The sequence below is a fragment of the Homo sapiens genome, chromosome X, assembly GCF_000001405.40.
Source record: "Homo sapiens chromosome X, GRCh38.p14 Primary Assembly".
NCBI classification, from domain to species: domain Eukaryota; kingdom Metazoa; phylum Chordata; class Mammalia; order Primates; family Hominidae; genus Homo; species Homo sapiens.
In genome coordinates this window covers 9,687,210-9,705,918 of record NC_000023.11, presented here as the reverse complement: position 1 = coordinate 9,705,918, position 18,709 = coordinate 9,687,210, and the positions used below count along the sequence as shown (strand labels likewise).

Below are 18,709 nucleotides of genomic sequence, written 5' to 3'. Positions count from 1 at the left end.
GCCATGCTTCCTGTATAGCCTAAGGAACTGTGAGCCAGTTAAACCTCCTGTCTTATCAATTACCCAGTCTCAGGTATTTCTTTAGAGCAATGAGAGAATTGAGAACTGCCTAATACACCCACCTATTAAGACTTTCATTTCAGACATTATATTTCTCAGTTCTCAATTTCTTTTCTTTTTTTTTTTTTTTTTTTTAAAGAGACAAGGTCTTGCTCTGTTGCCTAGGCTGGAGTGCAGTGGTGCTACTGTAACTCACTGCAGCCTTCAGCTCCTGGGATGTGACTACAGGTGTGCATCACCATACGCAGCTACTTTTTAAAATTTTTTGTAGAGACAGAGTCTTGCTATGTTGCTCAGGCTGGCCTCAAACTCCTGGCCTCAAGCAATCCTCTGGCCTCAGACTCCCAAAGTGCTGGGATTATAGGCATAAGCCACCACACTTAGTCTCCATTTGTTTTTTAATGATTTTTTTTTCTATTCACTGCAGATGTGCCCCGTCTATTCATTTATTGTGAGCATCCTTTCCTTGATGTCCTCTACATGTTTCTCATGGCTACCTTAAAGGCTTTGTTGCCAAATCCACCATCTAGGTCATTTCTGAGTGAACTGTTCTCACTGCCAACCCCAAACTGAGTCAATCCAACCACCATGGTTACCATGGGGTAACCATGACAGCTCAAATAGCCAAGGGGCACATTAGAGCTGGTCTGCTGCTGCAGTAGCTTTTAATTCTAGGCACACAAGAATCGGCTCCCACATCACATTCTCACAAACTCGAGACCAGTGACAAGAGCTCTCACTTACTGTGTGTCCCTGGAAGGTTTTGACTGGGCGGTCACAGCCGAGCCTGCACACATGGATACACATGTCTGTGCTACAGGAGGCAAAGGTCGTGTTGTTCTGCCAGTCCACATCAAGGGCAGGGGCTGCAGTAGGGAGGGAGGACATCTGGAGTTACTCACTGTTGCACAGCTCCATGGATTTACAACAATGAACAGCACAATCAAGAAGCCTCTTTAGTTTACTTATTTATTTATTCTAGAGACAGGGCCTGCTCTGTCACCCAGGCTGGAGTGTAGTGGTGCGATCATGGCTCAACGCAGCCTAGAATTCCTGGGCTCAAGGGATCCACCCACCTCAGCCTTCTGAATAGCGCATGCCATCACGCCTAGCTAATTTAAATTTTTTTTTTTTTTTGCAGAGACGAGTTCTTGCTATATTGCCCAGGATGGCCTTGAACTCCTGACTTCAAACTATCTACCCGCCTCGGCCTCCCAAAGTGTTAGGGTTATAGGCGTGAGCCATTGCACCCAGCCAAGAAGCCCCATTTAGTAACATGATAAAAACGTCTCAAGCGTGAACACAGTCTCTTTCTAAGACCTTAAAGACCCTCTCCTGCCACGTTGGCAGGGATGACAAGATGTCCTGGGAGAGAGGCTCCGTGACACTTCTTGCACCCCACAGCCTGCAGAATCTCCCGCTCCCATGGCACAGTTAAGAAGGGCAGGTGAGAGGGCCGCCCTGCCTGCTCTGTACCTTGCTGCTTCCAGCGGCATCTCTGCAGTGAGCTCATTTGATTTAATTTTGGACAAAGAGGAGAAAAAAGGAGAGGAAAGATTTCATGTCCTATGTTCAAGATACCTCAATATGAAAAAAACTCTCCTGTAACACATTAAGGCATCCCCTTGACTAGGGGATAATTAGGGTCAATAAAAACCCCTTTGGGATGAAACGGAACGCACACTTCAGGGCCTGTGACCGACACCCTCCCTGACTTTGGGCCTTTCTCAGGTCCAGGTGGTTCAGGGTCACAAAGACAGAACAACGGGGAGCTGACCTCCCCTTGTAGTTTAGTTACAGCTATGGGTCTCATTCTCTACCTTCTGATTTATTTTCTAGGATGGCAGCTGGGAATCCAACAACTTCCCAATGTACCAAAATGGCCAAGGCACTCGCTAAAAGCCAGGCCCTGGTTCTGTCCTCAGAGCGTCTGCCTCCACAGGGCTGGACCATGCCCTGAGAGGCACTGGAAGCACAGGTGACAGCAAGGGCACTGAAGTCCTAGCAAATGGACCTCATTCCTCGTTCTGCCTCTTTACTGATGTGCAGCTGCAGGTTGACGGCTTCCTGGAGTCTCAGCTACAGATGTGGATGTTGCAAGCAGCCCCAGACAAGGGGGAGAGAGCCGAGGCATCTCAGGAGATCAGCAGTGCCCGGGACAGGGAGTGCGCTGGAGGTGTGGAAGTTCCCACGGTGGGGGCCCCCGTGCACTCTCATCCTCTTCTGCTTCTGGGGAAGCATGGCTTCAACTGCTCACTCCTGTCCTCTAGCAGAGAGTGGGTCTGCGGCTGGGAGCGAGCATCTGTTCCACCTCCTCTCAGGCGTCCACGGACTGCAGGGGTCACCCGCCTTCCTAGGGGCCAGGAAGGGCGCTGTGCTCAGGTCTCCGGTCTCTTTCCACTGCGGGGGCCACACCAGCAGATCATGTTCCCTGGGCTTCTTCCCACCTCATGCCAGAGAACTGATGAGCAGCAGAAAAGGCCATGCGATGCCGAGACAGAAGGGCACAGGGGAAGAGGCGGCTTCTCTGGTGATCTCTTCCCTTCCCTTCTCTGGTGATCTCTTCCCTTCCCTTCTCTGGTGATCTCTTCCCTTCCCTTCTCTGGTGATCTCTTCCCTTCCCTTCTCTGGTGATCTCTTCCCTTCCCCTGAAGGTTCTGAGCAACCCCACCCTCTTATTAAGGATCATCATGAGGCTTCTTGTGTGGAGAGGACCTCCACAACCAGCCCCGTGTCCGGAACCCTGACTATCAAAAGGAATGATTTAGGGGTGTGAAAAGTACTGTGCTCCATTACATGTGAAATGGAGGGACAGTGCCTCCCTTCCCAGGGTTCATGCTAATTTAAGGGGGTAATGCCTTACGGGGCAGAGAGCTTGGGACTTCGAGAGCTAGTCGTCCGCATCTGACCACCTCTCGTAACCCTGCGCTTCCCATGCAAGCCCATGGAAATTACTTTTAGCTACTGAGTGGGCTCCATGATGCCCCCAGGAGAGGAGGCAGCAGGGTTAGGGCAACTCTACAAGTGTGCCCAGCCAAGAACTCTCATTGGTTTTCCTAGATACTATGGTCCATTCTGTTATTTGCCAAGTTATGTTCTCCAAGGTAGCTGTAAACACTGAATTAGCCAATAATGAAGCATTGCTTCTAGGGGAAAGAGAGGGTTAGCTTCTGCCAGGCTCTGGCCACCATGTCCTTACCAATCGACCAATATAGAAACTCATCTTATGTGAGTTTTTTTTTTTTTTTTTTCTTGGAGATGAAGTCTTGCTGTTGCCCAGGCTGGAGTGCAGTGGCACAATCATAGCTCGCTGCAGCCTCGAACTCCTGGGCTCAAGCAATCCTCCTGCCTCAGTCTCTCGAGTAGCTGGGACTATACATGTGTGCCACCATGCCCAGTTTTTTTTTTTTTTTTTTTGAGACAGGATCTCACTCTGTCACCCAAGCTGGAGTGCAGTGGCACAATCTTGGCTCACTGTACCCTCAATCTCCTGGGCTCAGGTGATTCTCCCACCTCAGCCTCCCTAGTAGCTGGGATGACAGGTGCACGCCACCAAGCCTGGCTCATTTTTTCAAAGATGTTTTTGGCAGAGATGGGGTTTTGGTGTGTTGCCCTGGCTGGTCTCAAACTCCTGGGCTCAAGTGATTCTCCCACCTTGGCCTCCCAAAGTGCTGGGATTACAGGAATGAGCCAACGCACCCAGCCATGTGTGTTTCTTAAAGGCAGTCAGCGCTGAACTGAGAAGAATCCAGCTTTCTCTGAATACTAACCATCAATTGCCCCTATTCTTCCTCGGTCTTCAAATAAGAGGTGCAAGCCTCCATGTGTTTATCCTCCATAAGCACAGGGACCCCATTCGCTTCCCCATCCAGCTCCCCCTGCAGGCGGAAGGTGTGGGTGGGAGGACGCGGGTGTCAGCAATGGTCTTTTCCACATCTGAGATCATCTCTTCTGTTCCATCCCCAGCAGCGTGTTTCATGACAGCCCCACAGTTCTTGACGCATTTTCTTCGTTCTCGTTTACAACATCGCCTGAGCTAAACAGCAAACTTCTGGTCCAGCCTCTGCATTTCGGCATGTGATTAATATACCTGGAAATGTGACAATCTGGTGAGCGGTCCAAGAGATGGCGACCAGCATCTGATGACTCCTCCATCTAAAGCAAGCTGGTTCAACCCGCGGTCCAGGATGGCTTTGAATGTGGCCCAACACAAATCTGTAAACTCTCTCAAAACATTAAGAGTTGTTTTCTTTTTCTTCTTCTTTTTTTTTTTTTTTTTTTTTTTTTTTAGCTCATCAAGCTATTGTTAGTGTTAGCGTATTTTATGTGTGGCCCAAGACAATTCTTCTTTCAATGTGGCCCAGGGAAACCAAAAGACTGGACATTCCTGATCTAAAGAGAGGCTCCCCCGTGCTCAGGTGGTTAGCCCCACTCTGAGTCAGCTCCTGCAGCCACAATGCTTGGAACCATGTGGGTGAATGGCCGGTAAGAGGGCTGAGCTACACTGGGGGCCTCTGTGCCCTCCCTCCCATGCATAGGCCAGTTTGGTTCAATAGCCCTCATTCTTCTGGGCCCAGCCAGTCAGTTTCCTTTTGAAATACTTAGAGATTTACAGGAAGCTGCAAAGGTAACACAGAGAGGTCCTGTGTCTCCTTCACCCAGGTTCTCCTGAGGGTTACATTTCGCGTAGCCGTAGCGTTGTATCGACGCTGGCAAGCTGACACTGGTGCAATTTGCCTGTAGAGTGCTGTCATTTTATCACATGGGTAGATGTGTATCGCTGCAACTGAGACCCAGAAGTGTTCCGTCGCCACTAAGATCTCCCTCAGCTACTGTATCGGCACACAACCTCCTCACATGCTCCCTCAACTCCCACAGCACTGACGGGTCCCAGGTTTCTAGCATTTTAGCATTATGAGAACGTTACATCAATGAAAGCACAGAGCATGCAACCTTCTGAGACTGGCTTTTGTCACTCGGCAAAATGCCCTTGAGATCTCTCCTGGCTGTCGTGCATCAATAGTTCATTCCTTTCTGCGGCCGAGTTTCACTCCACCACGAGGCTCTGAGCTAAGGCTTCCTGCCGACGGTGACCAAGGGCGCCCCCACGAGGTGTTACTGGGGAAAAGCTAGTGGGGCAAGGCAATGTCTCCTATCGCCCCATTAAACACCAAACCTGCCACAGCCACAGAAAGGCGCTCCTCACAGCTCTTCCCAGCTGCGTTTCACCTGGAAGAGCGAGCTTCTTTCTCTTCATTTTGAACGTTCTTTAACACACTGATTGACACCAAAAAGAGAGCAAGTAACGCCTAGATATGTCTGACCTGCCGACGGGAATTGGGTCTACCTCATGGCCAGCCAGATCACAGGTGAGAAGCTCACGCAATTCAGAACAATGTGGTTTGTGGTCTTCCTGGGTCAGCTGGGTAGGAAACCCTTCCATAGGGCCTGGGGACACTTTGGGAAAGATTATTTTCTGCTGAAATACTTTACAGATGAATTCTTAAGACACAAGTGTTAGAGGAACCTTATTGATGTTTACCTCGGGCATATTTTTCTCTGAAAAACAGAAGCCAGAGCTTTCTGCATTAGACATCCCTGCCTCACCCCCCGGGGTCTGCGTGTCTAGGGCTGTGAACCTGTCATAGCATCCTTCCTGCCTACAAAGGTAGGTTTTGGCACTTAAGCCAAACGTGACGGAACTCCATTAGGAAGGCTATTCTCACTAGCCACCTGCTTTGATTTGCAGTCTAGAGCACAGAGTAGCAAGTGTCTGGCATGGAGATGACACACAGATCACAGGCTGTAGGTGGAGTTGCCAGGGAAAGATGGAATGGGTACAGGGTTTCCCTTTGGGGTGAAGAACACTTTCTGGAGGACCTAGTACACGTGCTACCTGCATTGGGAGCCTTTTGTCTCTCGTATGCTCAGCACCTTCATCAACAGTGTCAATTAAAGCAACACCAGTAACAAATTTCACCGGCAACCCTGAGAGGTGTGTTTGGTGTGGGTCCCAAGCTGTGCAGGAGTGGCTCTCCCTCTCCAGGGCAGCAGAGCAGAAACAGCGTCCTCCCTGAGTCTCCCTCACTCTCTGAGCTGCCTGTATGAGGAGTCCCTGCTGAAGTACTGCATGGAATATAACAGACGTGGGTGCCTATGCATCTAACACAATCGTGCCTCGACGGGACCTTCGGTTCATGGTCTTGTTTCCTGCAGGGCCCATGTCCCCTGCCTGGAGCCCTCCCCAGGCGCCGATGGCTGTTCTGCCTTGGATGGTTGTTGCAGTTAGCCCTCCCATTCAGAACATCATTTAAGCACCCCAAGCTGCATGACAAGAAAGACACTCAGATCTCCTCCTGGACAATGCCCCAGGGACAGCTGATAGAATAGTTAACTTTCGTCCCACATATTTAGGGATTCCTTCAAGACGGATCAGACATTTGCCCTTAAGGGAAGTGGCACCTACCCACTTCTGTCCACTTTAAGCCAGTCTAAAGACTTCCAATAGTCTATTAGCTCTGCGGGTGGCCATCTGTCTTTGTTTTAAGAGGCCACGTCTAACATCAGGACTGAGTTACACAGAGGAGGGAGGTGGGAAAGAAAATGAAGAATCATTTTGGAAGACCGAGGTGGGCAGATCACTTGAGGTCAGGAGTTTGAGACCAGCCTGGCCAACATGGCGAAACCCCGTTTCTACTAAAAATACAAAAATTAGCTGGGCTTGGTGGTGCATGCCTGTAATCCCAGCTACTCGGGAGGCTGAGGCAGGAGAATCGCTTGAGCATGGGAGGCGGAGGCTGCAATGAGCTGAGATCGCACCACTGCACTCCAACCTGGGTGACAGAGTAAAACTCTGTCTCCAAACAAACAAACAAAAAAACCCAAAACGACCCACGAAGAATCAGGTGGGAATCTGGAAAATCGGAATCTCTACAGACTCCAGAGCCCTGGGTAACGCATGTGGCCTGGCCTGGCTCCAGTGCACAAAGGGATGTAGTTGGCTCCAGAGCAGCGGCCACACATCTGTGTAGGAAGGTGCTAACACCACAGGCCCGAGGCTGATCTCCCTACAGAGGCTTGCTTGCAAGGCCGGCCCTTGGCTAGCGACTGAGATTTTAGATTTCCGGAGAGTTCCCACCCTCCCCTAACAGACGCAAGCGGCTCACTCTGCTAACACTTGTTTGTGCAAACAGTGTGTTTATGCTGTGCCCCTGCTTTCCTTCTGGGGGTCTGCAGTTTTGGCTTGTACTAGGCACTGGGTGCTTACACGGCCAACCCCCAATAAAAACTCTGGGCACTGAGACTCTATGGAGCTTCCCTGGTATAAAACACTTCACAGGCATAGTTACAACTTATTCCTGGAAGAATTCAGCATGGCCTGTGAGAGTCCACTGGGAGAGGAGCCTTCGAAGCTCTGGATTTGGCCGTGTGCACCGTTTCCCTTTGCTAATGTTGCACTAAATTCTTGTGCTGTTAGAAATCTTAGCTGTGAGTATGTTGAGTCCTGGGGGTCCTCGCAGCAAACCACCAATCCTGGGAGTGGTTTCAGGGAGCCCCCAAAACAGCATCCCTTTAGAACAGCAAGAGAAAGGAGCCCGCACTGCTTCTGTGGCTGGCTCACTGCTGTGTTTCAGAGCTCTGAGCAGGTGGGTGCCGAGGTCATCTCTATCTTGCAAACCTTAAGAGCAATCAATGCTTGCCACAAAATGGGTCTCCTTCTGACCAATGAGGCCTCCTGGGCTCCATACTCGGCGCATTCAGTTACTTTAAGGGGCATCTCAGGATCTCATTCTGTCACCTAGGCTGGAATACAGTGGTGCAATCACAGCTCACTGCAACCTTGATTTCCTGGCTCAAGCAATCCTCCTGCCTCAGCTTCCTGGGTAGCTAAAACTAGAGGTGTGTACCACAACACCCGACTAATGTTTTATATTTTTTGTAGAAACGGGGTCTTGCTTTGTTGTCCAGGCTGGTCTAGAACCCCTGGGCTCAAGTGACCCTCCTGTCTCAGCCTTCCGAAGTGCTGGAATTACAGGCATCAGCCACAGTGCCCAGCCTAATTTTGGATTATTATTATTAGTAGTTTTTGAGACACGGTCTGGCTCTGTCGCCCAGGATGGAGTGCAGTAGCGCAATCTTGGCTCACCGCAAACTCCATCTCCTGGGCTCAAGCCATCCTCCTACCTCAACCTCCCAAGTGGCTGGGACTACAGGTGTGGACCACCACGCCTGGCTAGTTATCGTATTTTTTGTAGTGATGGGTTTTGCCATGTTGCCCAGGCTGGTCTTGAACTCCTGACCTCATGCAATCCACCTGCTTCGGCTTCCCAAAGTGCTGGGATTACAGGCGTAAGCCACTGGGCTCGACCTGAATTATTATTTTTGAATTACAAAAAAACAAACAACAACAACAACAACAAAAAACTCACCTGAATGAAAAGGAAACTGCTGTTTGGCTTCTCCTGTGTGGGCATCCCAAATTATTGTTGTCTGTGTTCCGCAAACAAAGGAAAAAGTTAGTAACTATTCTGGCAAAGTTTTCTCTGGAAACATTTATCATACAAGAAAAGACAGCCCTTCTCCTTATAAACCGGCACTGTCCAATAGAGATAGAGAGTGAGCCTTATGGGCTAGTTTCAATTTTCTGGGATCCACATTAAGAAGAAAGAAACTGGTAAAATTCATTAGCAATCTATTATATTTAACTCCAACATGCCCCCAAATATTACCATTTCAACATGTAATCAGTATCAAAACCTTACTGGGATATTTGCCTTCTTTTTCTCCCATACCACATCATTAAAGTACAGCATGTTTTAAACTCAGCAATCTGGACGGCCACATTTGATGAACCTATCAGCCACATATGCTGGCATCTCCCTTAACTCATTTATGCCTGAGGTTGCAACTTTTTGAATTTCTGCAATCAGACCTTGGCGATGACCCTGAGCAGCAGGATATAAATAACTCCCACATGCTCAGCATTCCGATAATGGAAACTAGGCATAAATGGGTTTAAGGACAGAGCATCCCTAACCAATACTTGCAAGAACTACCAAAATTGGTAGGAATTCCTCCTCATCCCCAAATGCAGAAACTGTTGAAAAACCTGGAACAAAGCATCTCCAGAGATCTTTGTGGCATTTGTTCCAAGTGAAGGGCTGCAGAGACGAGCATTTCTGAAAATGCCTCTGCCCATCCCTCCATGAAATGGGGGCACTAGACATGGCAGAGCCATTGGCTTGCACTGGGGCCAGGCACCAATGTACTGGTCTAACAGTAAGTAGAAAGGTTGAGTTCTCCCTTGGAAAGCAAAGGAAATCACGAATTTTTATGAATTTACTGACGCTAGGAAGATAGAGAACCAGCTCAATGAATAGCATTGGAGTTACGTCTTCATCAACTGGAATTTTCAACTTAATTGGAAACTTTACACCTCTCTGTTACTGACGCTCAGTCAAGATTTTGCTTTAAGAAGAAAGAGTTCTATTTTGTGTTGACTGTAGACATTTTCAGAGGAAAGCAAGCAGTGAGTGTCTTTGAAACTTGGTACTCCTGGGTTTTGGGTCAGTTCTAGACCAATTAACATTTCTTTGTTGGGGTATAACTCTTCTTAATTTAGCCATGCAAAAACAAATCTAACACTGCAGAGAATATATAAACTCTTTCACAGTTCTGATACCATTTCACATATTACATCAGCGACTGGTCTCTTAGTTGATGTTTATGTTAAATGTACATTGGACAAAAGAAAACAGTTATGCAAACATTTGAAGAATGTGACATATATTTTAGTCACTCTGTGTTGGTCAACACCAGCATCCCCTAAGTTACATTTTCTCCCTGAGTGTTATGTACAAGGATGTTATTTTCACTCCTGCTGTGGTTGACTAAGTAATGATGGTGGATCGTACCCAGCCCAAGAGACTAACATAATTCCACATATGCATTTTCACTGATCACATAGTCCATCACCTGGTGGAGTTAAGACTGATAATCAGTGAGAAAAACAATCACAAATGTTAACAGTCTCCAGGTAGGAAGGAGGCCAGGAAACAAACAGCTATTTAGAATTCTACGGAAGTTAAAGGGCAGTAGTTACTGGTGACCAGGGTCTGAGTTCCCATCCCTCTGTACTCTGCACCAGCTGTGTGTCCCTAGGCAAATTAATAACCCTCTCCAGGCCTCCAGTTCGTCCTCTATAGAATGGGAGTGATCATACTTGTGCCTGCCTCCTATCTTGGCAGTACCGGATGGATTAACACATGCAGTAGTGAACTGCTTGATAAAGAAAAGTGCTGTCATTTTCATGAGTGATTTTAATAACTCAAGCAGCAATTACTGAGAGCCTACTGAATGCACAGCAAAGTGCTGCGTATGCATGTTACTTGAATTAGAACATCTTGGCAAAGATCTGATAGTAGCTACATGAGAACGTTTATGTGTCAACCACAGCAACTCAGCTTTTAAAATATCATAAACCAGGCTACTAAGTCTGAAAGGTTTCTTGGCTTAAAAGAGAGGGAGAGCAATTATGAATGAATGATTTGTTGACCTAGTTATACCCTAGTGCAAGAGTCCGCAAACTTTTTCTGTGAAGGGCCAGGTAGTAGAATTTTAGGCTTTGAGGGCCATCTGGTCTCTCTTGCAACTGCTCATCTCTGCCATTGTAGCATGAAAGCAACCATGGAGAAGTCTCAACAAAGGGGTGTGGCTGTGTCCCAATACAACTTTATTTAAATTTAAGAAACAGGTGAGGAGCCAGACTTGGCCTATGTGGGCCACAGTTTGCCAAATTCAATTATTTCATTTAGCAATTTCTCCCAAAGTGGGATGATGTTCAGAGGTCAAGTCTATCATTTTATTTATTTATTTATTTATTTATTTATTTATTTATTTGAGATGAAGTTTTGCTCTTGTTGCCCAGGCTGGAGTGCAGTGGCGCGATCTGGGCTCACCCCAGGTTCAAATGATTCCCCTGCCTCAGCCTCCTGAGTAGCTGGGATTACAGGCATCCCCCACCACGCCCAGCTAATTTTGTATTTTTAGTAGAGACAGGGTTTCTCCATGTTGGTCAGGCTGGTCTCGAACTCCCGACCTCAGGTGATCTGCCTGCCGTGGCCTCCCAAAGTGCTGGGATTACAGGCGTGAGCCACCACGACCGGCCAACTCTATCATTTTATAACTTTCAGAACTAGAAAGAACAGAGAGCTCTGACTCAGGTTTTGTTTTGTATTGTTTTGTCTTGTTTTGTTTTGAGACAGAGTCTCACTCTTCTTCCAGATCCAGGCTGGAGTGCAGAGGCGCAATCTCGGCTCACTGCAACCTCCTCTGCCTCGCTGGTTCAAGAGATTCTCGCGCCTCAGTCTCTAAGTAGCTGGGATTACAGGCACCCGACACCATGCCCAGCTAAGTTTTGCATTTTTAGTAGAGACTGGGTTTCACTGTGTTGGCGAGGCTGGTCTCGAACTTCAAGACCTAGTAAGTTTTCAAGTTATCCTGAAATCACCACAAAATGCAAAGCTTTGTGGAGGCCCGAGCATCCTCCAGTATTCAGGCATGGTTTCCAGTTGTTGTAGAAACACAAATTCATGTGAAAACACGTCTTTTTTTTTTTTTTTTTCTCAATTCTAGATAATGCTTCTTTTCCAAAGCCATGACTTAGAATTCCTGCTGAGTCTCGGGAACGCACAACTGTTCCATGAAGGCTGTCTCCGCTCATGACTCCAGCCAGCCTTGTCGCTGGACAAGTGAGGAAAGTGAAATGCACAGAGGCCGAGGTTGCTGGCTGGATCAGACTCGGGCCCAGGATGGAGTCTGCGTCCCCTTACTCTTTGCCCTTGGGTTCCCACCCCATTGATGGCTTTTACATGCACCTGGAGTTAACACTACCGTGTCTCCCTGCAGCCCTGCCCAGGTGCAGAGCAAGTCAATTCTAACCTGGCTCTGTGGGCCATCGGAAGAGCGTGCCCTTGTAGCCAGGTTGCTTGACTCCTACTCAGAGAAATCTGCGGTCTACGGTGGGAAGCAGCAGTTTATCAAATGAGGAAAGCCGAAGCCTGAAGAACACACACAGCCTGTGCCACTCACCCCTCAGTGGGTGCAAGTTCAGGCAGGGCACGCCCCATACCACGTGGCTCCTTCCAGCAACTGACAAATGCAATGTGGAGATTGTCCTCTCTCTACCACTGAACCATGTACCTCAAATAAAGGGAAGCTTTGCACGAGGGTCTGCAGAACAGCAGAATATATTAAGAGATGATGTGTCACAAATGAACAGAAAGATCAAAACCACAAAAACAAAGCCTAAACAAATCATTTTCATTTCTTAAGGGGAAGCACAAAGCCTACGAGTTCCAAGAAACCACGATGTTATTTTGAGATTAAAAATATATAACCACCTATAGATCAAAGGGATGTATTTTCAGCTAATACTCACTTTGTCTACACCAGCACTCAAAATGTAATTCCCCTTTCGGTTCCATTTCAAGGCAAAGATGGGGCCTTTATGTTGGCCTAAGGTGCTGGCCAGGTTACCTGTTAGTAAAAACAAACATGTTGACCTCAATGTCATGGTCTGTTCACTCAAGGGTTAAGTTCGGCAGCTCCTCTTACCCGACCCCAGCACGAGGGACACAGAACTCACCATCTTCCGTCCATATTCTTGCAAAACCGTCATATGAACCCGTAGCCAAGAGTGTTCCATTGGTCTGAGGGCCAGAAAGAGACAAAACCCCACAAAAACAACTTAGGAGCGGCAGCACCGAAGCAGCTCGGAGAGCCTCTCCGAGGATCCAGGTACACTGGAACCATTTGCCACTGCGTGTTCTTTAATGACAGAATTGAAAATACCATGCTGAAAGCTATCGTAAGACCTTGCAGAAAATAAAAAGCAGTCAAACTGTGTGCATCCCATGTGTCAATGCACAGAACACCTGGTGCTGAAATCCCAAGGTGGAGAATCACCTTTCCTGGGCTGCACGACGTATCTCTCCAGAAGAACTACCTTGGGGCTCCCAGCCTACCTTCCCACCATGAGGCCACAGGCTCATTTTGCTAAGGCATGCTCACGTGCAAAGATACGGCTACTGAATACACAGCTCACTGCCTGCCAAATGCAGCCTTGTTAATAGCTCTTAGAAGCCAAGACTGGCCGGGGGCAGTGGCTCACGCCTATAATCCCAGCACTTTGGGAGGCTGAGGCAGGCGGATCACATTGGGTCAGGAGTGCGAGAGCAGCCTGGCCGACATGGTGAAACCCCATCTCTACTAAAAATACAAAAATTAGCCAGGTGTGGTGGCATGAGCCTGTAATCCCAGCTATTCGGGAAGCTGAGGAAAGAGAATCGCTTGAACCCAGGAGGCAGAAGTTGCAGTGAGCTGAGATCACACCACTGCATTCCAGCCTGGGCAACAGAGCAAGACTCCGTCTCAAAATAAAAAAAGAAGCCAAGAACACCTCTCTGGCAGCCCATCAGAGTGGGGGCTGAGCACACAGGACCACCTGCCTCCTATGTCTGCATGGGCTCCATTGCTGCAGCCCCTGCCTGGTGGCTGGCCGATTTTACCAATTTCAAAGTGCCCAGGGGGTGGAAGATGCTTACATTCCAGTCCAGTGAGGTGACGTCTTTGTTACTCGGGACGTCATGGCCCCCCTCTCGTATACAGTGCCTCAACACGAGCTGGGTGGAGCCCCCGTTGCTATTCTCATTCAGGTTCCATATCCTTGCAGTTGAGTCTCCAGATCTACAGAATAAAAACACAGGAGCCTCTGGTGTTTGGTTCAAATGGGATAAGAAGCTCTCCACAGCTTGCTCTCTGGCCAGAGGGCATCTTCAGCACATGCTCTTCTGTCTTTTTCATCCCTCTGGATCCCTGTTTCCCTCTTTGCCATCTTTGCATTTGGTAATTTAAGTGCTGCTGTGTTCCTCACCACCACATGGAGAAAACGACTTGGAACTATGGCTTCTCCACAATATGAGACATGTAGAGAAGTGGCTCATAGAGCCACCCATTCCTTGGTCTGCCCACACACCGGGGTAAGAAGGGGAGTGTGTGTTCCTTTAGGCAGAACTCCAGAGAAGGGCGAGCAGCTTGCATCTCCCATCTCCCCAACTCTGGAGCGCCCCCCACCCTGACATCCTTACCCGGAGGCTAGCAAATCACTGACAGGATTCCAGGCACAAATGAACACCTCAGACTCATGGCCCCGAAGGACTGTGGCTTTGCTGGATGGAATCTCAACCTCTCCATCTATTTCCATTGGCTTCGCGTGATTATCTGTCACAGCAAACACAAAGAGACAAGTGGCTTACCAATACAAGAGAAACACACTTAAAGGGCTCTTTTGTTTCCAGAAACATTTTTTTTATGTACTAAATACTACCTCTGATGATTCCTTTTCTTTTTTTTTTTTTTTTTTTGAGACGGAATCTTGCTCTGTCGCCCAGGCTGGAGTGCAGTGGCACGACCTCGGCTCACTGCAACCTCCGTCTCCCAGGTTCAAGCAATTCTCATGCCTCAGCCTCTCAAGCAGCTGGGATTACAGGCATGTGCCACCACACCAGGCTAATTTTTGTATTTTTAGTAGAGGCGGGGTTTCACCATGTTGCCAGGGTCGGTCTCAAACTCCTGGCCTCAAGTGATCCACCTGCCCCAGCCTCCCAAAATGCTGGAATTACAGGCGTGAGCCACCACGCCCGGCCTACCTCTGATGATTCTAACGAAATCGTGGCTTTAGTGCAATTTAGTAAATATTTTAGGTTTCTTTACATTTTGACAGTCTCTAAATTTCATTGAGGAATAAAAACAGTTTGCTAAGTGCAGTGGCTCACACCTAAAATCCCAGTGCCTCAGGAGGCTGAGGAGGGAGGACTGCTTGAGACCAGGAGTTCAACAGCAGCCTGGGCAACATAGCAAGACCCCATCTCTATAAAAACAACAACAACAACAACAACAAGAAGTTAGCCAGCCCTGGTGGTGCACACCTGTAGTCCCAGCTACTCAGGAGGCTGCGGTGGGAGGATCACTTGAGCCCAAGAGATTGAGGCTGTAGTGAGCTATGATTGTGCCACTGTACCCCAGCCTGGGTGACAGTTATTTTTTGTAACTGGGGCCAGCTAACTACAGCCCATGATCCAAACCTAGTCCCTGGCTGCTTCTGCATAAATAAAGTGTGACTGGCACACAGCCACTGCCCATGTTTTCAAATTGTCTATGGCTACTGTTATGGGCTAAACTATGTCCCCCTAAAATTCATATCTTGAAGCCCCAATTTCCAGGGGCCTCAGAATGTGGCTGTATTTGGAGATAGGGCTTTTGAAAAGGTGAGCAGGGTAAAAGGAGGTCACAAGGGTGGGCCCTAACCCAGTGGGACTGGTGTCCTTATGAGAAGAGGAGATCAGGACACAGACACAACCAGAGGAACGAGCACGTGAAGACATGGAGAGAAGACAGTCTCTACAAGCCAAGGAGAGAGGCCTCGCAAAGGAACCAGCCCTGCCCACACCTTGATCTTGGTCCTCCAGCCTCCAGAACTGTGAGAGCAAATTCTTAAACAGCCTGGTGTGTGGCCTTTTGTTACGGCAGCCTGAGCTGACTCTCACAGCTGTTTTTGCACTCTGACAGACTTCAGCAGCTGTGACAGAGACTGCATGACCCTCAAAGCCTGGGACATTTACTGTCTGTCCCTGTAAAGAAAGTTTGCTAGACCCTGGTTTATGCTCCTGAGAAAGGAGCAATATAGCCTGATCATCAAACAATTAGCCATGGTTAACAGTTTCACAATACGGTGAGGAATTGAGCATGCTTTGTCATATGTCTTTCGTAAAGGTGCTCTGGTGGAAAACCCAGGAAACAGAAGCAATGTGATCTTAGGTTACGTGTCACTGAGTAGGAGTGCTGTTTATGTAAAAAATAAGAAAACGCCTGGTGGTCCTGCTTAGCTCGAGAAGCCTGATACAAAAGATTCAAACAACAATGGGACTCTTCAATGTTGGTGTTTCTTCCATGCTCTGAAAGTGTCATCTGGCTGGAAGAGAGGAAAAACATCTTTCTGCATGTGGCAGACCCACTGTCCCTGGTGATGGCAAGAGGGAAACTGGCATCTTAGCCAGCCACGCAGTGGCAGGGGGCCTGGTAACTCCAGGCAGGAGTGACAGCCAGTATTTTCATTCTTATCAAAATGCGGCCTTCCAATGCTCCTGTCTCCATAGACTGGGCTGTGGGTCAGGCACAAGATGCAGGGTTTGAGAAGGGGGTTGGGGTGGCTGTTCCAGAAGTTCAACCAGGGTGAACTCTGGCCACATGCACAGAGGAGGAGGGCCAGACTCTTCTTTTCCTGCCCCACAATTGTGGACCTTATCAATAGAAGGCTGGTAAGAGGTCTTTTCCTTTTACCTGAGGCAGGTGGCCTTTCTGTCACCCTATTGCAATAGAAACGTTATTAACAATCTGTGAACCTTCCATTAAATGCTGGATCTGCTTCTCCAAGAATTTTTTAGCTGGTGCCTGTGGATGGTAACTTGTCACAGGGCTTGGCTCGGGCTGCAGCCTCATCAGAGGCAGCCGGCTGGCTCTCTACACACCAGGAAGTTGTGGAGCCAAGACGTACCAGGTAAGACAGCAACGTCATAGTCAGCTCGATCTTCAAGGACTGCTGGGCTGCATGGCTGCTCCGAGGGCAACAACTTTCAAATAAGGAAGAACACACACACATACACTACACCATGCACAGGTGTGCGTGCGTGCGCACACACACGCACACAAACTTGTGCACACACACGCACAGGAACACAGGTGCGCACACGCATATACGCGTGCACGCACACACGCACACACGCACACATACACGCACACGCATGCATACACACTTGCACACAGACACAGGCACATACACATGCAGATATACACATGTACAACATACATATGCACCCATGCATACCTGTGCATGCAAGTGCATGCGCGCACACGGTGCGCCATGCACGGCACATATGCTCGCTCTGAACTTGCACCCTGAAGTGGCGTCCCTACGGGTGTATAGAGCAGTATGTCTAAGTGGAGCAGGTTCTCTGGGTAGAATTTTGGGCTCTCTGACTGGCCACATACTCACAGGCAATCACCTAACAGGGACTGATGTCCTGGGGTTTTGCAAAGACCAAATAAGCCTATGCCCAGTCTCTGGGGCCCAGTGCCCTTGGCAGGAACTGCAAGCTCAATAATTATACCATAATTTGGCCAAAAACCCTCAACATGGAAGGCTGGAGGCTGAGACTAAAGGTGTCCATGAATGAAACACTTTTGTTTATCACGGGCAATAATCATGTGTTACATGAGAGTTCTCAGATTAGCAGGCGCAGCACGATTTCCTAAAGTTGAAGATGAGGGTGAAGAAGCTCAGGTCCAAGGGTTGTGATGGAAAAAATGGAACGGGAAGTTCTTCCGGCCAGATCGTAAGCAAACACTAGAGAGCAGCTTCTAAGACATTTATAGCAGGCAGGTTTTTAAGAAGGCATTCGGATTTGCCCAAGAAGAAAACAATGAACCCAGAGAGGCCCACCGAACTCCCAGAGCCCCTGCACTCACTGACTGAATGTGCTCTGTTCTCTTCCCCATTCACCGTGGCCTCTCTGTTCTTCGATGGATTTTGGTGGGAAACGCCGGCTGAGGTCGTGGTGGCTGCTGTCGCTGCTGCCGTGGCCGCAGCCGCCGCCGCCGCCGCACTGGCTTGCTGCTGAGCGAGCTTCTCTCGGAATGCCTGCTGCCGCGTCTGCACCACGTCGGGCATCACGGCGTCTATCAGTGACAGGGACTCTATGGGGCGGCCGTCGAACACTGTGCCATCCTGGGGAAGCAAGCCAAGGTACAGCTGTCAGCTCACGGGGGTGAGGGCTCTGGGAATGGCCTCTGCTCTCTGGGCAGGAGAAGCGCAGGGAAGTGGGGCGTAAACAGCTGGCTCCCAGCAACCAGGGGGCCACGGGGGAAGCGGCATGGACCTGGAGCCTGGGGTGAAGGGATCCCACGGTGGGCAGGGAAGGGGACACGACAAACTGTTGGTAAGAACTAAGTGTGATGGTTGTTCTGAGTGTCAAACCCAATTGGGGCATTGAGGACAAAAAGGCCATTTATTCTTGACAGAAAGTGCTATCCCTGATGGCACAATTCTCAACGTGGCGGGGGCGGGGGGTGACTGTGACTCCTTGGGGGGCATTAGGCAACGTCTGGAGACTTTTTTGGCTGTTACAACTAAGGGAGGAGAGGTGCTCCTGGCATCTGGTGGGTGGAGCCCAGGGACGCTGCTCAACATCCAACAGTGCCCAGGATGGCCCCACCACAGAGAAACACGCAGCCCCAAATACTGAGTGCTGCGGTGGAGAAGACCTGCCCACGTGCTATCGCGACTGTGCAAAATCTCTGCAAATGACCATCCATTATATGGGAGGGTAACGCTTCAGAAGCAGAGCCCAAATGAGATGCACACAGCATTTAGGCCTGGATTCCAAGTCCATCTGTCCAGGGGATTTAATAAAATAGGCACTTGCTGCTACTTGAAATGACTCCTTGGGTTCAGGGTTAGACTAACCATAGCCATGACACAATTGACATCATTTTGTTTTGATTCATGTTTTTTTGACCATTCTTTGATTCTCTG

The 18,709-nt window shown here is 48.8% G+C and overlaps 1 protein-coding gene across 4 annotated transcripts in view; it reads right to left on the bottom strand.

Annotated features, from left to right (window-relative positions):
- TBL1X (transducin beta like 1 X-linked) overlaps positions 1 to 18,709 on the bottom strand; it is a 256,446-nt gene that overhangs the window by 13,822 nt on the left and 223,915 nt on the right. For all 4 annotated transcript variants that reach the window (NM_001139468.1, NM_001139466.1, NM_001139467.1 and 1 more), the window contains 7 exons: positions 17,644 to 17,902; positions 14,208 to 14,340; positions 13,665 to 13,806; positions 12,707 to 12,770; positions 12,500 to 12,597; positions 8,490 to 8,550; positions 805 to 926 (listed from right to left, as the gene is read on the bottom strand). In NM_001139468.1, the coding sequence (NP_001132940.1) occupies positions 805 to 926; positions 8,490 to 8,550; positions 12,500 to 12,597; positions 12,707 to 12,770; positions 13,665 to 13,806; positions 14,208 to 14,340; positions 17,644 to 17,902 (879 nt within the window). The remainder of the gene's footprint in view (positions 1 to 804; positions 927 to 8,489; positions 8,551 to 12,499; positions 12,598 to 12,706; positions 12,771 to 13,664; positions 13,807 to 14,207; positions 14,341 to 17,643; positions 17,903 to 18,709) is intronic.